General features: G+C 35.4%; 1 long non-coding RNA gene across 2 annotated transcripts in view, besides 1 other annotated feature; it reads right to left on the bottom strand.

Moving 5' to 3' along the window:
• The window catches only part of LINC00871 (long intergenic non-protein coding RNA 871), a 437,745-nt gene that overhangs the window by 103,499 nt on the left and 315,971 nt on the right, over positions 1 to 18,275 (bottom strand). The gene's annotated exons all lie outside the window — the stretch shown is intronic.
• Positions 16,220 to 17,120: an enhancer, noted in NCBI's record as "OCT4-NANOG hESC enhancer chr14:46850488-46851388 (GRCh37/hg19 assembly coordinates)". NCBI's record gives its function as "activates a minimal SCP1, AML or CMV promoter by ChIP-STARR-seq in naive H9 embryonic stem cells {active_cell/tissue: H9 hESC(naive)}" and the evidence as "EXISTENCE:reporter gene assay evidence [ECO:0000049][PMID:30033119]".

Below are 18,275 nucleotides of genomic sequence, written 5' to 3'. Positions count from 1 at the left end.
ACATACTTTGCTTCTAGAAAAAAAAATACTCAAATCTACTCTTGTGAAACACTTTTGCTATGCAGTTTTCTTCTTTTACATGTATCCTGTATTCCATTTCTACTGTACTTCAGGGTAAGCCTTCTGGGACTACAGAATGCTCTAAATTGAATGTACCCCATATTATTTTTGCACTCCTGTTCTCAGGAATCTAATACAGTTTCCAGACTTCTCACCATCTCATTAAAAATTAGTAGAGGGATGTCGGTAGGTACACAATCTTACAAATGCAGGTCTGACTTCGTAAATTAAACATACTTTGTGTGTGTACATTATTAATTCCTGTTTGCTTTTAGGTGTCAGCATGTGCAAACTCACTGGTACCATCTTTGCATTTGGAAGTTCTCTGGATTTTGGAGAAGAAAGCAAATGAATGACTTACATATGAATCAGGATTATGAATTATGTAAATCAAGCCACCAAGTCAGGGCAAAGAGAAAATTAAAGTTACACTAAGGGCATACTCCAAGAATTTCTCAGGAAAGACAAGAAAAGAAAATGTCAGTTTTAACAGGTAATTCCACTTACCTACAAAGATTTTTTGCAACAAATATGACAATCCTTATTTTGTTGAATTTTTTCTCTTCAGCTCTTAAGGGAATTAGATATGAACTATTGTTTGTACCTGTATTCTGGGGTAAATTATTCTAGAACTCCTTTGAATGTGCTTTTTCAAAAGTATTAACCTCCAGAAACATAAGCAACAATAACAGAAGGGTCAGTCAATAGATGTTCCTAAGTGAAGTGCCAGCATTCTGAACCATAATTTTTGTGACTTCATATGAGGTTATGTTTTATACAAGCCAAACTTATTTTTAAGGGTAAAACAGAAGAGCAGGTTGAAATGGGGAACAGCTCAGAAAGTGGCAGAAAGTGCTAGCTGTGGAATCTTTGCCCACCTCCAGCCTCTGGACCAAATATTTTTCTATGTACCATGTGCATAATAAGCTATTGGTGAATAGTTTGGCAGATGTCTCTAACAGGAGTCATGTGGCAGATGTGTGGGGACAAGAATGTAGGCACCATATCGACCTTAAATGATGAGTCTGAGAAGGCAAAGAGAATCCTATAGTCAGAGATTCCTGAGATAAGCAGAGGAAGGTAGGGATGGCCTTTATGCAAAGCTTGACAGCAAGATGGGAAGCCATGGTAATGTGAATTTCACAGCAGAAACAAAGGCAGACATAATGAAATGCTTGGACTCTGCTTTGTGGCATATACTTAGGATCAACTTCTAAATCCTATATAGTTTTGTTATCTAGGACCTTGAACCAGTTATTAAAACTCAATTTCAGTTTTTTCATCAATGAGATTATTTAATAATATTGACCTTAATATTGTTGAGAGGATTCACTGACATGACACATGAAAATAATTATCTAAGTGTCTGGTATCCTAGAGCAGATCCAGGTTGCCATTTGAAATCATTGATGTAAGCTTTTTATTTTTCATTTATATCTGAACCTTAAAATTTATTTATATTCAGTCAATCTATTTTGAGGCTGTCCGTTCAAATTTCTTTTAATAACATTTGAAGACCAGATGAGTTTTATCTAGGATGGAAAGTGAGGAATATTTTCCATTACTAAAATTAACAGAGTGAACATCTTACAGGAATAGCATTTCTGAAAGTCTTAAAATTACCTCGAAACAAATGAATATTTACAGTTATACACAGGCAGGCCTCAGAGATACTGCAGGTTAGGTTCTAGACCACTGAAATAAAGTGAATATCACAGTAAAGCAAGTCACATGCATTTTTTGGTTTCGCAGTGCATATAAAAGTATAATTACACTATAGTCTATTAATTGTGCAATGGCATTGTCTAAAAATGCATATAGCTTAATTAAAATACTTTATTGCTGAAAAACGCAAACTATTATCTGAACTTTCAGTGAGTTCACAGCATAATTTGGGTGGTTGAGGGTCTTGTTTCAATGCTGATGGCTGCTGACTGATCAGGTTGGTATTTACTGAAGCTTGGGGTGCCTGTGGCAATTTCCTAAAATAAGACAGTAATGAAGTTTGCTGCATCAATTGACTCTTCCTTTCATATAAGATTTTTATGTAGTATGTGATGCTGTTTGATAGCATTTTACCTACAGTAGAATTTCTTTCAAAATTTGAATCAATGCTCTCAAACCCTTCTGGTACTTTATCAAATACATCTGTGTAATATTCTAAATTCTCAAACCCTTCTGGTACTTTATCAAATACATCTGTGTAATATTCTAAATTCTCATCAAATAGAAAACTAAATAAACAATTCTTCATCCATTCAAGTTTTATCATCAGACTCTGGCTATTCAGTCACATCTTCAGGCTCCACTTTTAATGTTAATTCTCTTGCTATTTCCACCTCATCTGCCATTACTTTCTCCACTGAAGTCTTTAACCCCTCAAATTCATTCATGGGACTGAAATCAAATTTTTCCAAACTCTATTTTTAATGTTGATATTTTCACCTCCTCTCATAAATCACAAATGTTCTTAATGACATCTAGGATGGTAAATAGTTTCCAGAAGGTTTTCAGTTGACTTTGCTTAGATATATCAGAGGAATCACTATCTACGGCAGCTAGAGCCTTATGAAATTTATTTTATTTATTTATTTATTTATTTATTTATTGTTGAGACGGAGTCTCGCTGTCGCCCAGGCTGGAGTGCAGTGGCGCGATCTCGGCTCACTGCAGGCTTCGCCCCCCGGGGTTCACACCATTCTGCCTCAGCCTCCCCAGTAGCTGGGACTACAGTCGCCCGCCACCTCTCCCGGCTAATTTTTTGTATTTTTAGTAGAGACGGGGTTTCACCGTGTTAGCCAGGATGGTCTCGATCTCCTGACCTCGTGATCTGCCCGCCTCGGCCTCCCAAAGTGTTGGGATTACAGGCGTAAGCCACTGCGCCCGGCCGAAATTTATTTCTTAAATAATAAGACTTGAAAGTCAAAATTATGCCAGGTACATTGGCTCACACTTGTAATCCCAGCACATAGGGAAGTGAGGAGCAAGAATGAGAGATCACTTGAGCCTAGAAGTTTGAGACCAGCCTGGGCAAAATAGTGAGACCCCGTTTCTATAACAAATTAAAAAATCGAAAGAATAGCTGGCTGTGATGGTGTATCTCTGTAGTCCCAGCTGCTTGTGAGGCTGAGACAGATGGATCACTTGAGCTCAGGAGTTTGAGGCAGCAGTGAGCTATGATGACAGTATTGCACTCCAGCCTGGACAACAGAGCAAGATCCTGTCTCTTAAAAAAAGAAAAAAAAGGAAAGTCAAAATTACTTTTTGATTAATGGGCTGCAGAATGGATGTTGTGTTTGCCAGTATGAAGATATTCATCTTTTTGAACATCTCCATCAGGGCACTTGGTGACTAGGTACATCGTCAATGAGCGATAATATTTTGAAAGAATCTTTTTTTTTTTTTCTGAGATGTAAGTTTCAAAAATGGGCTTAAACTATTCAATAAATTATACTGTGAGCGGATGTGCTATCATCTATCTAGCCTTTATTGTTCCATTAGTGTATCACAGCAGAGTGACATTAGTATAATTCTTAAGAGCCCTAGGATTTTGAATAGTACATGAGCATTGGCTTCAACTTAAAGTCATCAGCATTAGCCCTTAATAAGACATGTTGTCTTTTAAAGCTTTGAGGCTAAGCATTGAATTCTTCAATTGGATTCTCCTCTCTAGCTATGGAAGTCTTAGAACACATCTTCTTCCAATAGAAGACTGTTTTGTCTACATTGAAATCTACTGTTTAGTGTAGCTACCTTCACCAATGGTCTCCACTAGATTTTCTGGATAACTTGCTGCAGCTTCTACATCAGCACTTGTTGCTTCACCTTGTACTTTTTATGTTGTAGAGATGGCTTCTCACCTTAATCCTCAGGAACCAACATGTGTTAGCTTCAAACTTTTCTTCTGCAAGTTTGTCACCTCTCTGAACCCTCAAAGAATTGAAGGTAGCTAGAGTCTTGCTCTGGATTAGGCTCTGGCTTAAATGAATGTGGTGGCTGGTTTGATCTTCTATACAGACCACTAAACCTTTCTCCGTATCACAATAAGCCCGTTTCATTTTCTTGTCATTCATGTATTCACTGGAGTAGCACGTTTAATTTCCTTCCAGAACTTTTCCTTTGCCTTAATGACTTGGCTATTTGGCATAAGAGGCCTAGCTTTTGGCCTGCTTTGACTTTCAACATGCCTTCTTCACTAAGCTTAATCATTTCTTGCTTTTGATTTAAAATGAGAGACGTTTGTTTGACTCTTTCTTTCACTTGAACACTTAGAGGCCAATGTAGGCCATTAATTGGCCTATGCGATATGTTGTATCTCACGGAATAGGGAGGCCCGAGGAGAGAGAGTGAAACAGGAATAGCTAGTTGGTGAAGCAGTCAAAACACATACTGGTATGTATTAAGTTAGCTATCTTATGGCACCCTAAAACAATTACAAGAGTAACATGAGAGATCACTGATACAGTTAACCATAACAGATATAGTAATAATGAATAAGCTTGAAATACCATGAGAGTTACCAAAATACGACATAATGACATGAAGTGAGCACATGCTGTTGGAAAAATGGCATGGATAGACTTGCTCTACACAGGTAGCCAAAATCCTCAATTGTAAAACACTCAGTATCTGTGAAGTGCAATAAAGCAAAGTGTGATATTACAAGGTATGCCTGTAAAGCATTGTTTTAAAAACACTGCTAAGAAAAATTTAAATAAATTATGTGTATTGAATAAGAATACAAAATGTTAATAATCTGATTTTGATACTTGTTCTCTGCTTAAGAATCTTGTTATTAGGAGACCCACACTAAAGTATTTAGAGTTAAAGAACATAATGTAACTGTGTGAGTTGCTCATACATTTAGGCAAATAGTGTGTGTGTGTGTGTTCACCTGTTTGTGTACAGAGAGAGACAAAGAGACCAGAAAAAAGGAAGAAAAAATATTAATAATAAAGCAAATATATTAAAATGTCAATGCTTGGGGAATCTGGATGAAGAGTGTACATGAATTATTTGTGCTATTTTTATGGATTTTCTATTCTTACATTATTTCAACATAAAAAATTTAAAAAATATTGCTCAACACTAGTCTCACAATGTTATGTTGACTTTATGGGAAATGATATGAAAACAGATGCAAGATTTGGTGAATGCCATATCAGTCCCCACATTAATTATTTATGCATGCTTACTTTAGTGTAGAAACCTGTATGTTTATTTTCTAATATTTTAATGGCAGTATGCTATATGTGAGTTGAAGTTGTTTTTGAGTCCTCATCAACTTTGTATTTGACTTTAATTGATTTTTTTACTATTGATACTCACATTAGATAACAGCAAAAGGGCTTGTTAATTTAACAGAAAGAAAATTAATAATATTCTCATATATTTTCCTCATTAAATTCACATTATAGGAGTAATGGTTATTTTAAATGGGCATAATTATTAACAGGAAAAATGCACACATTAATTTTAAACACTAATGACTGTGGCACTACTTACTTTTCTAGAAGTAATTTAGGCACGGTTGCATGAGTTTCAATTCCCCTTTAACCAAACTTATTAATGATTTTATGGCAAACTCAAGACAGTGTACAGTAAAGGTCACTGGAATGGGGCACATATAAACCTTTTACATTTATGTGCTAATATGGCCTTATTATCTATGGCTTGCTGCTATTTGATGATACCTCACTGAGAATATATCTTAACAACATAATGTCCTTCATAAAAGTGACTGTCCACAGAAAAGTTTTCTTAGCCTACTTACAGTTGGAAAGCCCTGTTATTTATTTTTCTTCCCCATCCTTTCATTTTCTTTTTCTTTTAAATCCTTATGTCGCTACATGGAGCCCATCTAGGCATTTTTTTTGAAATTATGTATATAATTCTATGCATATATATAAAATGAATCCAAATATTAAGTAGATCTATTACCTTATTTTTTAGCATCTGTTTACTTCTTAACATTTTCAGTCTGCCTTAAGTTCCCAATATTCCATGAAATCAAAAGTTCTTTTCTTTGTCTCCATTAATTTTTATCTCTCAAATGCTTCAGCAAAGTAATGAAAATAAAAGAATTTCACAATGAGAACAACCCCATCATTTGAATCCTGGCCTTGCCATATAATGAAACTTGACTTATTTTGAAACATTTTTATGCCTAGGTTTCCATCTGAAAGATGTGGATGAAATACCCATTTTCCAAGTTTTTGTGTGTGTGTGTGTGTTGAATGAAATCATGGATACAAAACAAATAGCAAGGGTCTAAAACATACATACTAACCTCTCAAAAATCTCAATGTTAAATAAAAAGAAATTTATTTGGCAAAAGTTACTCCAAGGATATGGAGGGTGTTGCCTAGAATGTTTCATTGGAAATGTAAAACTTGAGGTAGTTGTTGGAAGGGTGAGCTTTAGTTAAGCAGATAAGTAAAAATAGTATGTTTTATGTATAGATGAGCAAGTTATATCTTGGAAATGGTGAAGAGACCACTTCAGCTGAAGCGGAGATTTTCAGGGGCAAAAGTTGGGGGCTGATTTAGAGAGATATGAATCTATGAATGCTATATAAAAGAGTTTGAACTTTATTTTGAAGACAAAAATGGAACTATTGAAGTTTCCTTTTTGGCAGGAGAGTGCCTTTATGAAAGCAGTGATTAACGCAGATTGGTTTAGAAAAGCACTGGGCAGTATGATTTGGAGATTGGAAAAGAGGGCCCAAAGGTTAACCAGTTAATGGCTTATCACAAGTGCCCACACATGAGGTTCTAAGAGTTTGCCTTTGCTGTTTGCAGTGAGAAGAAAAACTAAAGACAAATTTGATTTTTTCCATAATAAAGGTTGATAAAATTTATTATCTGGCTAATTCTTTTGCATTACAGATAAAAACGTTTCTCATAAAATTTGGAGTTTTTTGTCTTCAGTAATGGAGGAAAAAATGTCAAAGACAAAAATTATGGAAATTATAGTAAAGAAAGGTACTTTTAGTTAGATAAAAAATTGATTTTAAAAACAGAGATTAGGCTGAAATAACTACATATCAATTCTTTGGAGACACTTTGCCACATGAGCCTGGAACTTGAAAGAAATGGCCTCCAAAATATGGATGTATATGTATATATTGTATTACAATGGTAGTGAAATTTTGGTGCTTACCTACCAGTTGTTGACAGCTAGAGGAACCAGTAAATGGTAAAATTGAGACAGGATAATCTGAATGGGTCACTGTGACAAAGGCCAGGGTAAGAAAGAATTTCAAGATGGAAAAGAGAAACATGATTATGGTAACTTTCAGTGTGTCCAGAATGTTCTAAGCACTGATCCTAACACACAGAATTTCATTGAATGCCTTTAACAACCCTATGAGAAAATATTTTACATGCAGCCACATATCCTGTGAGAGTTTTCCCTGTTCAAGAATGTATCATAAACCCTAAACTGAAGATGGAAGGCACCGCATTCTTTTCACAATAAGTATACAAAGTTATCATAAATCAGAATAAACCACAATCCAACAGAACTACTCAAAATAGCCATTTAGAAGTCTAGCCTATTCTACCTAGCCCAATTGTAGTCAATATAAAAGAGGGCTGAGAATTAAGGATGTTATTGGCTTGTTCAGGAGTTTAATCATTATGAACTATAACCTTGCTTCCTCGAGCCAAGAGAAATGGGCTCCAAGAGACTCACTTATAAAGATAAAAGATCCCTAAAAACACAGAGTAGTATTGTTTTCCCCTTTTTGGGTATCCTTTGAAAGTCTCAACTTGATGATCTGTTTCTGTGCTAACTGGACAAGGCAAAAGAGAGAATTGGATAGTAATAAATGGTTTCCCAGGGGACTGCCAAGCAAAGAGAAGGCAAGGATCTTCTCTATTCATGTTTTGTTTCTAAAAGGTGCAGGAGATAGATACTGAGTTCCAATGCAATCTGGATTGTTGGGCAGAGAGGCTCGATAAATTTGGGGCTTCAGCTTTATTGGGGCACTCAAAGCATTGGGACAAAGATCACATGTCAGAGGGAGAAACTGTGAATGTCACAGGTGAAGATCAGCAGGAGGATGTGGAGGGACAGACAGCACAGGACTAAGGGAGATGCAGGAAAGAAGTGACTCTGTAACAGACAGTGGAACCTGCTGGAATAGTCATCTGTCTCCTTTTAATTGATAGTCACAAGGATAACCAAAAAGTGCTTAAACCCAGTAAAAAGAGAACTACAACCTTTTCAGTTGGATATTTTACACATTTCACTCGCCTTGCCACTCCACCACTACCCTGAAAACACACCTTCGACTGAAGAGGAGTGTAAAAAGAGTAGACCTTGTCTTCCCCTTACACTCTAAGTCCTTAAAGCCACTGAGACCTAGTCAGCATAGGCAGAGACGATGAGAAGAGACAGGGATTGAAGTTTTTTAACGAACAGGACTTTATAGCAAAGTGAAACTGTTCTGATAGCAGAGAGAAATTGGAAAGTCATTGAATGTAGCCAAGATATCAGAAGGGACTCTCTAACAATTGGGTGAAGGTGAAGTTCAACATGATATATGTGCAAGGCAGTTGTTTCAAATATACCTCCAGTATTTAACTGTATTTAACAGATAGAGAAGTATTCCTTATATTTAATTAAACCCACAAGTGCTATTAAACATTAACCCATTTTAATTTTCTCTGTTAATGGAGAATTTTTTTCCATATAGCAATTACAGAATAATATGTTAAAGTCACCATTTATATTTTCTTTCTACTAAGTTAATGCTCTAGAATTCTTTATATTAACTTTTTATATCAATTTAAATTTCATGTTTCTCAAAAGTCTAAAAATTTTAAAAGTATGTTTGACTAAATATTTTAGGTCACTTAAATAAAGAAACAGCAATAAATTATTTAAATGCCAAAGACCTACCATCTTGAATTTTACAAAAATTCTGGAAAGTCTTTTTTTTCTTTTTTTTTTTCACATTTACTAGCACCAAACATTTTTCTCTGCTGACCAAGATGGACTTAATATTTCCTTCAACTTCACTAAACTTCAGTCAGGCTTCTTCTTGCCTCTAGGCCCCTGACTTCCCTCTCACACCCATCCTTCCAGAATCCAGATAGCCTAAGCACGGAGTTCTCTCCTCTCTGTTTTCTCAGTGCATTAACTTTAGAAAATTTGTAATTCTAGATTATTTTTCTGACCCTTTGAAATTTAAATCTATTTAAAAAAACTTATTCGTACTTCTTTTTTATTTTTAATTACTATGAGTACATAATAGTTGTCTATTTTTATGGGTTAAATGTTATGTTTTGATACAGGTATACAATGTATAATGATCAGAGTAATCAGAGTATCTGTCATCTGAAGAATTTATCATTTTGTGTTGAGAATATTTTAATTCTATTCTTTTAGTTGTTTAAAATGTATAATAAATTATTTTTAACTATAGTCATCCTATTGTGCTACAATATTAGATCTGTTATACTAGATCTAATTTACTCTAATTGTAGTTTTGTACCCATTAACCATGCCCACTTTATGTCTCTCTCCCCACTATCCTTCTGAGCCTCTGGTAATCATCATTCTACTCTGTTCTCTAGGTTCAATTATTCTTTTAGCTCCACATTTGAGTGAGAACTTGTGATATTTGTCTTGCCATGCCTGGCTTATTTCACTCAACAAAATATCCTCCAGTTACATCCTTACTTTTGCAAATGACAGAATTTTATTCATTTTATGTCTGACACATATTTTACAGTGTGCATATGTACCACATTTTCTTTATACATTCATCCATTCATGGGCCCTTGGGTTGATTCTATATCTTGGCTATTTTATTTTATTTTATTTTTTGAGAGGGAGTCTCGCTCTGTCCCCCAGGCTGGAGTGCAGTGGCGGCTCACTGCAAGCTCCGCCTCCCGAGTTCATGCCATTCTCCTGCCTCAGCCTCCCGAGTAGCTGGGGCTACAGGCACCCACTGCCACGCCCAGCTAATTTTTTGTATTTTTTAGTATACACGGGATTTCACCGTGTTAGCCAGGATGGTCTCGATCTCCTGACCTCGTGATCTGCCCGCCTTGGCCTCCCAAAGTGCTGGGATTACAGGCATGAGCCACTGCACCCAGCCAATCTTGGCTATTTTAAATAGTGCTGCAGATATTCCCAGATATGCAAGTGCAAATATTCCTTCAATACACATTTTTGAGGAACCTCCAAACTGTTCTCCATAGTGGTTATGCTAATTTACCTTCCCACCAACAGTGTACAAGTGTTCCCTTTTCTCCATATCCTCTCTAGCATTTGTTATTGCCTGTTTTTTAGATAAAAGCCTTTTTAACTGGGAGGAGATAATATCTCATTGTAGTTTTGGTTTGCTTTTCCCTGATAATTAGTGATATTAAGCATTTTTTTCATATAGCTCTTGGCCATTTCTCTTCTTTTGAGAAATGTCTGTTCAAATATTTTGCCCATTTTTAACTGGATTATTTGATTTTTTTAATTGAGTTGTTTGGGTTCCTTATATATTCTGGTTATTAATCGCTTGTCAGATAAGTAGTTTGTAAATATTTTCTTCCACTCTGTGGATTGTCTCTTCACTTTTACTTTATTTAGAAAAACCTAAACATTCCAAAAAAAATACTGTTAAAACTAATAAATTCTTACAGGATTCTAGAACAACATACAAAAATCAGCAGTATTTTTATATGCCAACAGCAATGATCTGAAAAAGAAACCAAGAAAGTAATCCTATTTGACAATAGCTACAAATAATATAAAATACATAGGAATAAATTTAACCAAAAAACTGAAAGATATCTACAATGAAAACTGTAAAACACTGAAGAAATTGAAGGGGACATACAAAAAAATGGAAACATATTCTATGCTAATAAATTGAAAAAATCAACACTGTTAAAATTTCTATACCACCCAAAGCAATCTACAGATTCAAAGCAATTTCTATCAAAATACCAATGATATTCTTCACAGAAATAGAAAAAATTATCCTAAAATTTATACAAAAGACCCAAAATAGCTAAATCCATCCTAAGCAAAAAGAACAAAAGTGTAGGAATTATTACCTGACTTCAAATTACACTACAGAGCTATAGTAACCAAAACAGCATGGTACTGGCACAAAAACAGACATGTGGATCAATGAATCAGAATAGAGAACTCAGATATAAATTCATACATTTACAGTCAGCTCGTTTTGACAGAGGTTCCAAGAGCATACATTAGGAAAAGGACAATCTCTTCAATAAATGGTGTTGGGAAAACTGGATATCTATATTCAGAACAATGAAATTGGACCAGTGTCTTTCACCTTATACAAAAATCCAATCAAAATAGATAAAAGACTTAAATAAGACCTGCAAGTATGAAACTACTTGAAGAAAACATTGGGGAAACACACCAGGACATTGGTCTGGGCAAAGATTTCTTGAATAAGACCTCAAAAGCACGGGCATCCAAATACAAAAATGGACAAATAGGATCACATCAAGCTAAAAAGCTTCTCCACAGCAAAGAAACCAATCAACAAAGTGAAGAGACAACTCTTTTCCCATTTTTATAACTCAGGACTGTCTTTCTCAAGGAACTTGGAGCCATTCTTTGAAATATAATCATCAAGGAACATAGTGGCTCTATCTCCCAGTCTTTCTGTGAATGTAGAAGCTTATCTTCACTGATATCTCTTCCAAGTTGTGAAACTACCTCCTGTCATGATGATACCAGAAAGTTTTTTTGGGTAAAGTCAATTAGCAAACACAGATGGGCTATGTTCCTCCCAGTCCCAGTTCTTAAAAAGTCTTTACCTCTTGAATTCAAACTGCATCTTGGTCTCTCTCTTTTATTGCAAGATCCTTCTATAAAGTCTTCCTTACCTGTTTAGCATTGCCTGGTGCAATTTTTGCTTTGACACTACCATCTTCTTCTTTCTACTGTTCTTTAAACTATGAAACGAAGAAAACCTTGGGATCTGTAAGTTTATGTATAAATAATACAGTCTGCCCCTTCCAGACTTTTTCCTATGAAATCTTAAAAATGCTAACAAGAGATAGCTATTCTATTACAAATCTGGTGCTTATGTTAGTAATATACATTTAGAGGAAAGTCATTTTTTAGAAGATAATTACTAGCCAATTTTATCTACCAAAAGTTTAATATTGAATGCTTTATTCCAACAGCAACACAGCAACACAAGTATTTTATTTCCCACAATGTGCTGATTTAACCATCTATTTAGAGGCCTAAATATACACTCAATAGCTCTAGATTTTCATCTCTTCAGGAATGCTCCAGGAATCATGGCATTGCTAGAGTCTTTTTTTTTTCCCCATCCCTTCCCTTCTCTTTCATATCCTTTCCTTTCCTCCTTTCTGTGCTATCTTTGTTGTTGTTGTTGTTGTTATGGAAATTTCAGTCACTCAACTTAGTAATCTTTTGCTATCACTTTAAAGTTCCAGCTCCTCATCTCACCCTGACAAGCTCTTGAGTTAACTTCTCCAATGCACCTAATTGTCACACTCATCCTCACTGCTCTATTAGGAGACAGTACACCTGAGAAGAGTCCTATGTCCATTGAGCGGAAACGAGGGGAAGAGAGAACAAATATGGCACATATTTGGGAAGTTCATGTAAGAATTTTCATTTTGAAACACAGCAGTATAGAATTTGTAACATCCAGTATTTACTAACTGCTCACTAAGTTCTAGGCATTGTTCTAAATGCTTTGCATGAATTATCTTCCTTAATTCCCATAGCTATCCTACAAAATAATTACCAATATTAGGCCCACTTTACAAATGGGAATGTTGAGACACAAAGAAGCCACAAAGTTAGCAGTGAACCCTAGATTCAAAAACAGGGTGTTGATTCTATCAAAGTGCCATATCCGCAGTCTTTTCTTTTCTGGAATATTTCATACAGATTTTTCAGCGTTACACTTGAAATGAGTTGTTCATGAAGAAACAAAGACTGAGGTTATCACTTACAGAGTATTCTTCCTGTCGCTTGGACAAATACAAGTATATGTTTGTACTTCTCTGTGAGAACAAAAACTACTTTTGCTTCCCTTTCTTCCAACTCATCACACGTAATGATTCTACTAATAGGCATATAAAAGAGTTCAGAATATGGATTGTGGGCGAAGGATTACCCAGGTGCGGAGGCAAGAGACTGAAGGCACACACTGTTTCAGTATAATAAAGAAAATAGTTAGAATAAGAATAGTTATAATACAAATTAGATACAGAGATGATCATGGACAATTATCAATCATTAGTATAAACATTAATAGCTTTTAATATTACTCTTTGTTGTATTACTCATATTACCAAGGAATAACTGGCAGGTATAGGGTCAGGTACTGAAGGGACATTGTGAAAAGTGACCTAGAAGGCAAGAGGTGAGCCCTCTGTCTCGCCCGCATAAGGGCCGCTTGAGGGCTCCTTGGTCAAGCGGTAATGCCTGTGCCTGGGAAGGCACCCGTTACTTAGCAGACCGTGAAAGGGAGTTTCCTTTCCTTGGAGGAGTCAGGGAACACTCTGCTCCACCAGCTTCTTGTGGGAGGCTGGATATTATCCAGGCCTGTCCGCAGTCATCCGGAGGCCTAAACCCCTCCCTGTGGAGCTGTGCTTCAATGGTCACACTCCTTGTCCACTTTCACGTTCCTCCCATACTCCTGGTTCCTCTTTGAAGTTCTTAGAAGATAGCGGTAAAAGAAATAGTGAAAGTCTTGAAGTCTTTGATCTTTCTCATAAGTGCATAGAAGAAAACTCTGATGTATGCTGCCTTCCCCCTCTGCTTCGGCTACCTAAAAGGGAAAGGCCCCCTGTCCCATGATCACGTGACTTGCTTGACCTTATCAATCACTTGGACAACTCACCCTCCTTACCCTGCCCCCTAGTCTTGTATTCAACAAGTATCAGCACGCCCAGCCCTTTGGGGGCAATACTGTTTCTGCGTCTTGGTGGTAGTGGTCCCCCCGGCCCAGCTGTTTTCTCCTTAGCTCTTTGTCTTGTGTCTTTATTTCTTACAATCTCTGGTCTCCGTACACGGGGAGAAACCCGCAAAGCCCTGTAGGGCTGGACCCTACAATGGATCTGTTGTAATTTTTGCCTGAAAGCCTACCTCTTTTTCAGCTCTTTCCTATTTTATCAGAGAAAAGAGTCTAAAATTCTCATTGGGCCAAGCATGTTGTTTCTTCGTTTAAAAGTTTATGTAGACCCTTAGGTATTATTTCATCAGTGCTGTAGATGGACACTTAGAAACAGTGTTGATAACTTCCAGCCCTACTGAAATACCTGCAAATGCCTATAACATTATGATTGTTTGCTTTCTCCTGAAAGAGGCTTTAAACTTGTTCGATAAATTTAAACATTATATGCTGCCACCAATTATTTGGTTTCTTGAGGTACACCATGCAATCATTCACCTCTACCAAAAGAAAGAAGAAAAAAAGGTCTCAGTGTAATGAAAATAATTGCAAATATGGCCCAAACATGTAAAAGCCAACAACAACAACAATAAAAAGTAGATAGTTGTACTATATCATTTTCTCATATCTTCTTAAAAAATATTTTTTAATTACCCAAAAGAATCATTTTGACAATTGGATACACATTTTTCAGGCTAGAACAAGGTGAATGTACAATTGAGAAAAGAGTAGAAGAGAAATTTCACACACAAATGGTCTCAGAGGTCACCTTCAGGTAAAGTTGACAAATTTTTCAAAGCAGAGAAAGGAGCTAAACTTATTTAAAAATCTTTATTAAATAACAGTGGTTCTTTAGGTTACATTGTCTTTGTTTTTAAATAATGTGAATTTTCAAAGAGGATTACATCAATTAATTTATAGCATTTACTCATCCTTTGTTATCATAAGCCCTGTACTCAGTTATTTTAAATTCAGTATTTTTTAAGTTTAGCTTGCTTGTGCATATTGCTCTTTTCCTTCTACACATTAATTTATAATATTAAAAATAATTGTCAAACCAGAGGTAGCACCTCAGAAGTTTCCTCTAGCAGCTGACAAAAACATGTTTTCACCAGTAATTTAACAAGGTCAACACCTGGCACATAGATTTTGTACTTGAGCTAGCAGAAAAAAAGCTATTTATATTGACAGGGTTTTCAGATACTTACACAGAAAATAACTCCGAAAAATTTTAAGTTACAAGGCTAAATGACTAAAATTTCTTTTTAAACATGTCTATAATGTAGTATCTGACTATTAACGTGGGCTAATAGTGAACGACAGCATGTTATCCCAGATAAAACCTAGTAATAAGAGTACATTGAAAATGATTTTTGGGTCAAGTACTACAAGGAGAAATTGAGTCAAACATCTGGTCTATAGCATATAAAAAATTGTTAAAGCTCAAAACTGGATTCAAATTCCTGTTCTCTACTAGTTTTAAGATCTTTGGAAAGTTAGCAAATCTCTCTACACCCAGATTTTCTCATTTGTAAAACTGAGATAATAGCTCCCCTTCTTGTAGAATTATCTGAAAGTTATCTAAAAAACTGTGCAAACCGATTAACATGATGTTTCACAAACAAAAGAATAATAAATATTAGCTAAAATTATTATGGCTATATTTCCTACCATTATCACTATCATTGTACATAATTTAAATCCATGCCTAATTGTTTACAGCCTTGGAACCTTAGTCAATAATGTCATGTATCCTTCTCCCTAATAAATTACCTCTATTTTTTTCCTTCTCCTTCTTAAAAGTATCTGAACCAACACATACATGGACAAATACATTCCACACATATCATGACACACACTTGAATCCGAACTCCCAAGTCTACCTTTAAATCCATTTAACTACTCATCTTAGAAACACCTTGGAAGATCACAGCGCTTATATTATATATGATTTTCAAATATATTTAATACTGTGTCCTCTACATTTTCAATACTGAGAAGCAGACACTGTTTTCCAATCTTATATTTCATTTTATTATCTTCCAGAAATTTATTATTATTTGAAGACTCAAATGCTAAGTAACATTAGCGCTTCTGCTTCCTATATGGCAGAGTACGTCCCTAAGAAAACCCTACTGCAGAGAACAAATGTAACTCAGATTTGAACACACACACAAAAACTAGCCAAGGCTACAGAGAGTGGAAAAAATTAAAACTGATTTTGGATAGGGGTCCAAACCTGATATAACAAATCGGAAAAAAATGGGTTTCTAATTTTTTTTGGACTGGCTTGAAGATTGGCCATAATTGTGGCATGATACAAGGTGGATGAAACTTTATTATAAAATCCTCTCTATTTCTAGCATAATTAACCAGGTAACAGAGTCTGAAGTGACCACATCTGCTGGAAATTGAGGCCGTAGGGATCCTGGAAAGGAAGGAGCCAAAGAAAGAGTGCCCTGGGTTATATGTGTAAACTCTGCTGAAGTTGCTGTTTGACTCTTTGTCATGTTCAGAGCTCTTTGGGTGGTCCAATTTAACTAGCTTGCCCAAGGGACAAATTTTTCCTTTCAGCTCAACTCACATCAAAGATGAGCTTTAGGCACCGTTTGATGTTCCAGCAGTTTATTCTGGCAGTGCTATTAAAAGATGAATAGCAGGTGCAGGCCAGTGACATGGACCAAATGCAGGGGCCATATGACTGCCTAACCAGAGAGTCTCCATCTGGAGACTATTCTCAGAGTCTGGGGGATTCTTCTCTCTTTTTTACACCTGTATTCAGTCTGGACCACTTACCAGGTGATTCTTTCACAAAGGGAGTTTAAGCTATTCCTGTAAGGGTAAGCTTTGTTTTAAGGTTCATGAAAGTTGCATCTGTGCTGAGATGATTTTTTTTTTTGCTCTTGGAAATCCTCAGACCAGAGTTAGAAATTCCTGGACCAGCTTCCATCATACTACAAGGTAACACATTGTATCTATTCTGCAAGATGCTTGAGTGGGCGTTATGACGATCATTAATCTTAGATGGACAATATGTTTCGTAGTATATTACAGCCCTGAACAATGAATATGCAGACATGTCTCAAAGCAGTTTGCAAATAAGTCTCAAATGTGATATAAGCAGGTGTGATAGCATTTGTAGTGTGAATCTAACCAACTGCCTGTTAAAAAAATAGCTACTGCTTTTTGAAGCAATGTAATAGAATCCATATTTGACATTCAACACTTCCATGATAAAATCTAAAACAACATCTTGCAAACAACCAAAGCACATCATGTTTTCTTAAGGGAAAATATAATTAACACAGGCCAGCTCCAATATAATCCAGATATTGGAATTATTAAACTAGAACTTTAGAACAGCTATCACAAGTGTGCTCAATGAAATAAAGAAAAGTACATTCATAATGAACAAACAGAATCAGAGGAATCTCCAACATTTGTAAAAGTGGAGTCTCAGAATGAAATATTTTTTTAAATGACAAAAATCTTCTTAAATTTGTTGAAAAATATCAATTTACAGTTTAAATAACAGCAAACTTCAAATAAGAGAAACAGGAAAAACTCGCCTAGAAATACCATAGTCAAACTGACGAAAACCAAAGATTAAATAAAATCTTGAAAGCAGTAAAGATAAAATCATGAAAAATTATGGAATAATAATAGCCTTTGTGAACATAGATGTAATAATCTTTAAAAATTATAGCAAATGAAATCCACCAATATATAATGCATTATAATCAAGTAGTAGTCTTCCAAAGAGTTCAATGTAATTCACAAAATAACAAAATAAAGGAGAACAACCATATAATCAATTCAACAGAGGCAGAGAAATTATTTGACAAAACTCATCACCAATTCATGGTAAAAGTTACCAGCAAACTATGAATAGAAGGGAACTACCTCTGTCTTATAAAAGTCATCTATAAAAATTCTACAGTTAATATAATATACAGTGGAGCAATGCTTAATACTAATGCCACCTTCCTCTCTCACACACATAGAAGATTTAAAATAACTTCTTTTTTACGGGGTATGAAATGTTTAGCCATCGGAACAAGGCAAGACAAAGAAATAACAGTAGTAAGAATCAAAATGGAAGAAATAAAATTGCTTCTATTTATACATGACATGATTGTTTTAATAAAAAAATCCTCAGGGTCTTAAAAATTTATTAGAATTAATAAGTAAATGTAACATTGTTAAGGTATAAAACTCAATAATATTTTATATACTAACAATAAGCAATTGGAAAGCATAATTTTAAAATATCTATCAGAATAAAAAC

The sequence above is a fragment of the Homo sapiens genome, chromosome 14 (assembly GCF_000001405.40).
Source record: "Homo sapiens chromosome 14, GRCh38.p14 Primary Assembly".
NCBI lineage: Eukaryota > Metazoa > Chordata > Mammalia > Primates > Hominidae > Homo > Homo sapiens.
This window is presented reverse-complemented; position numbering and strand designations above follow the sequence as displayed.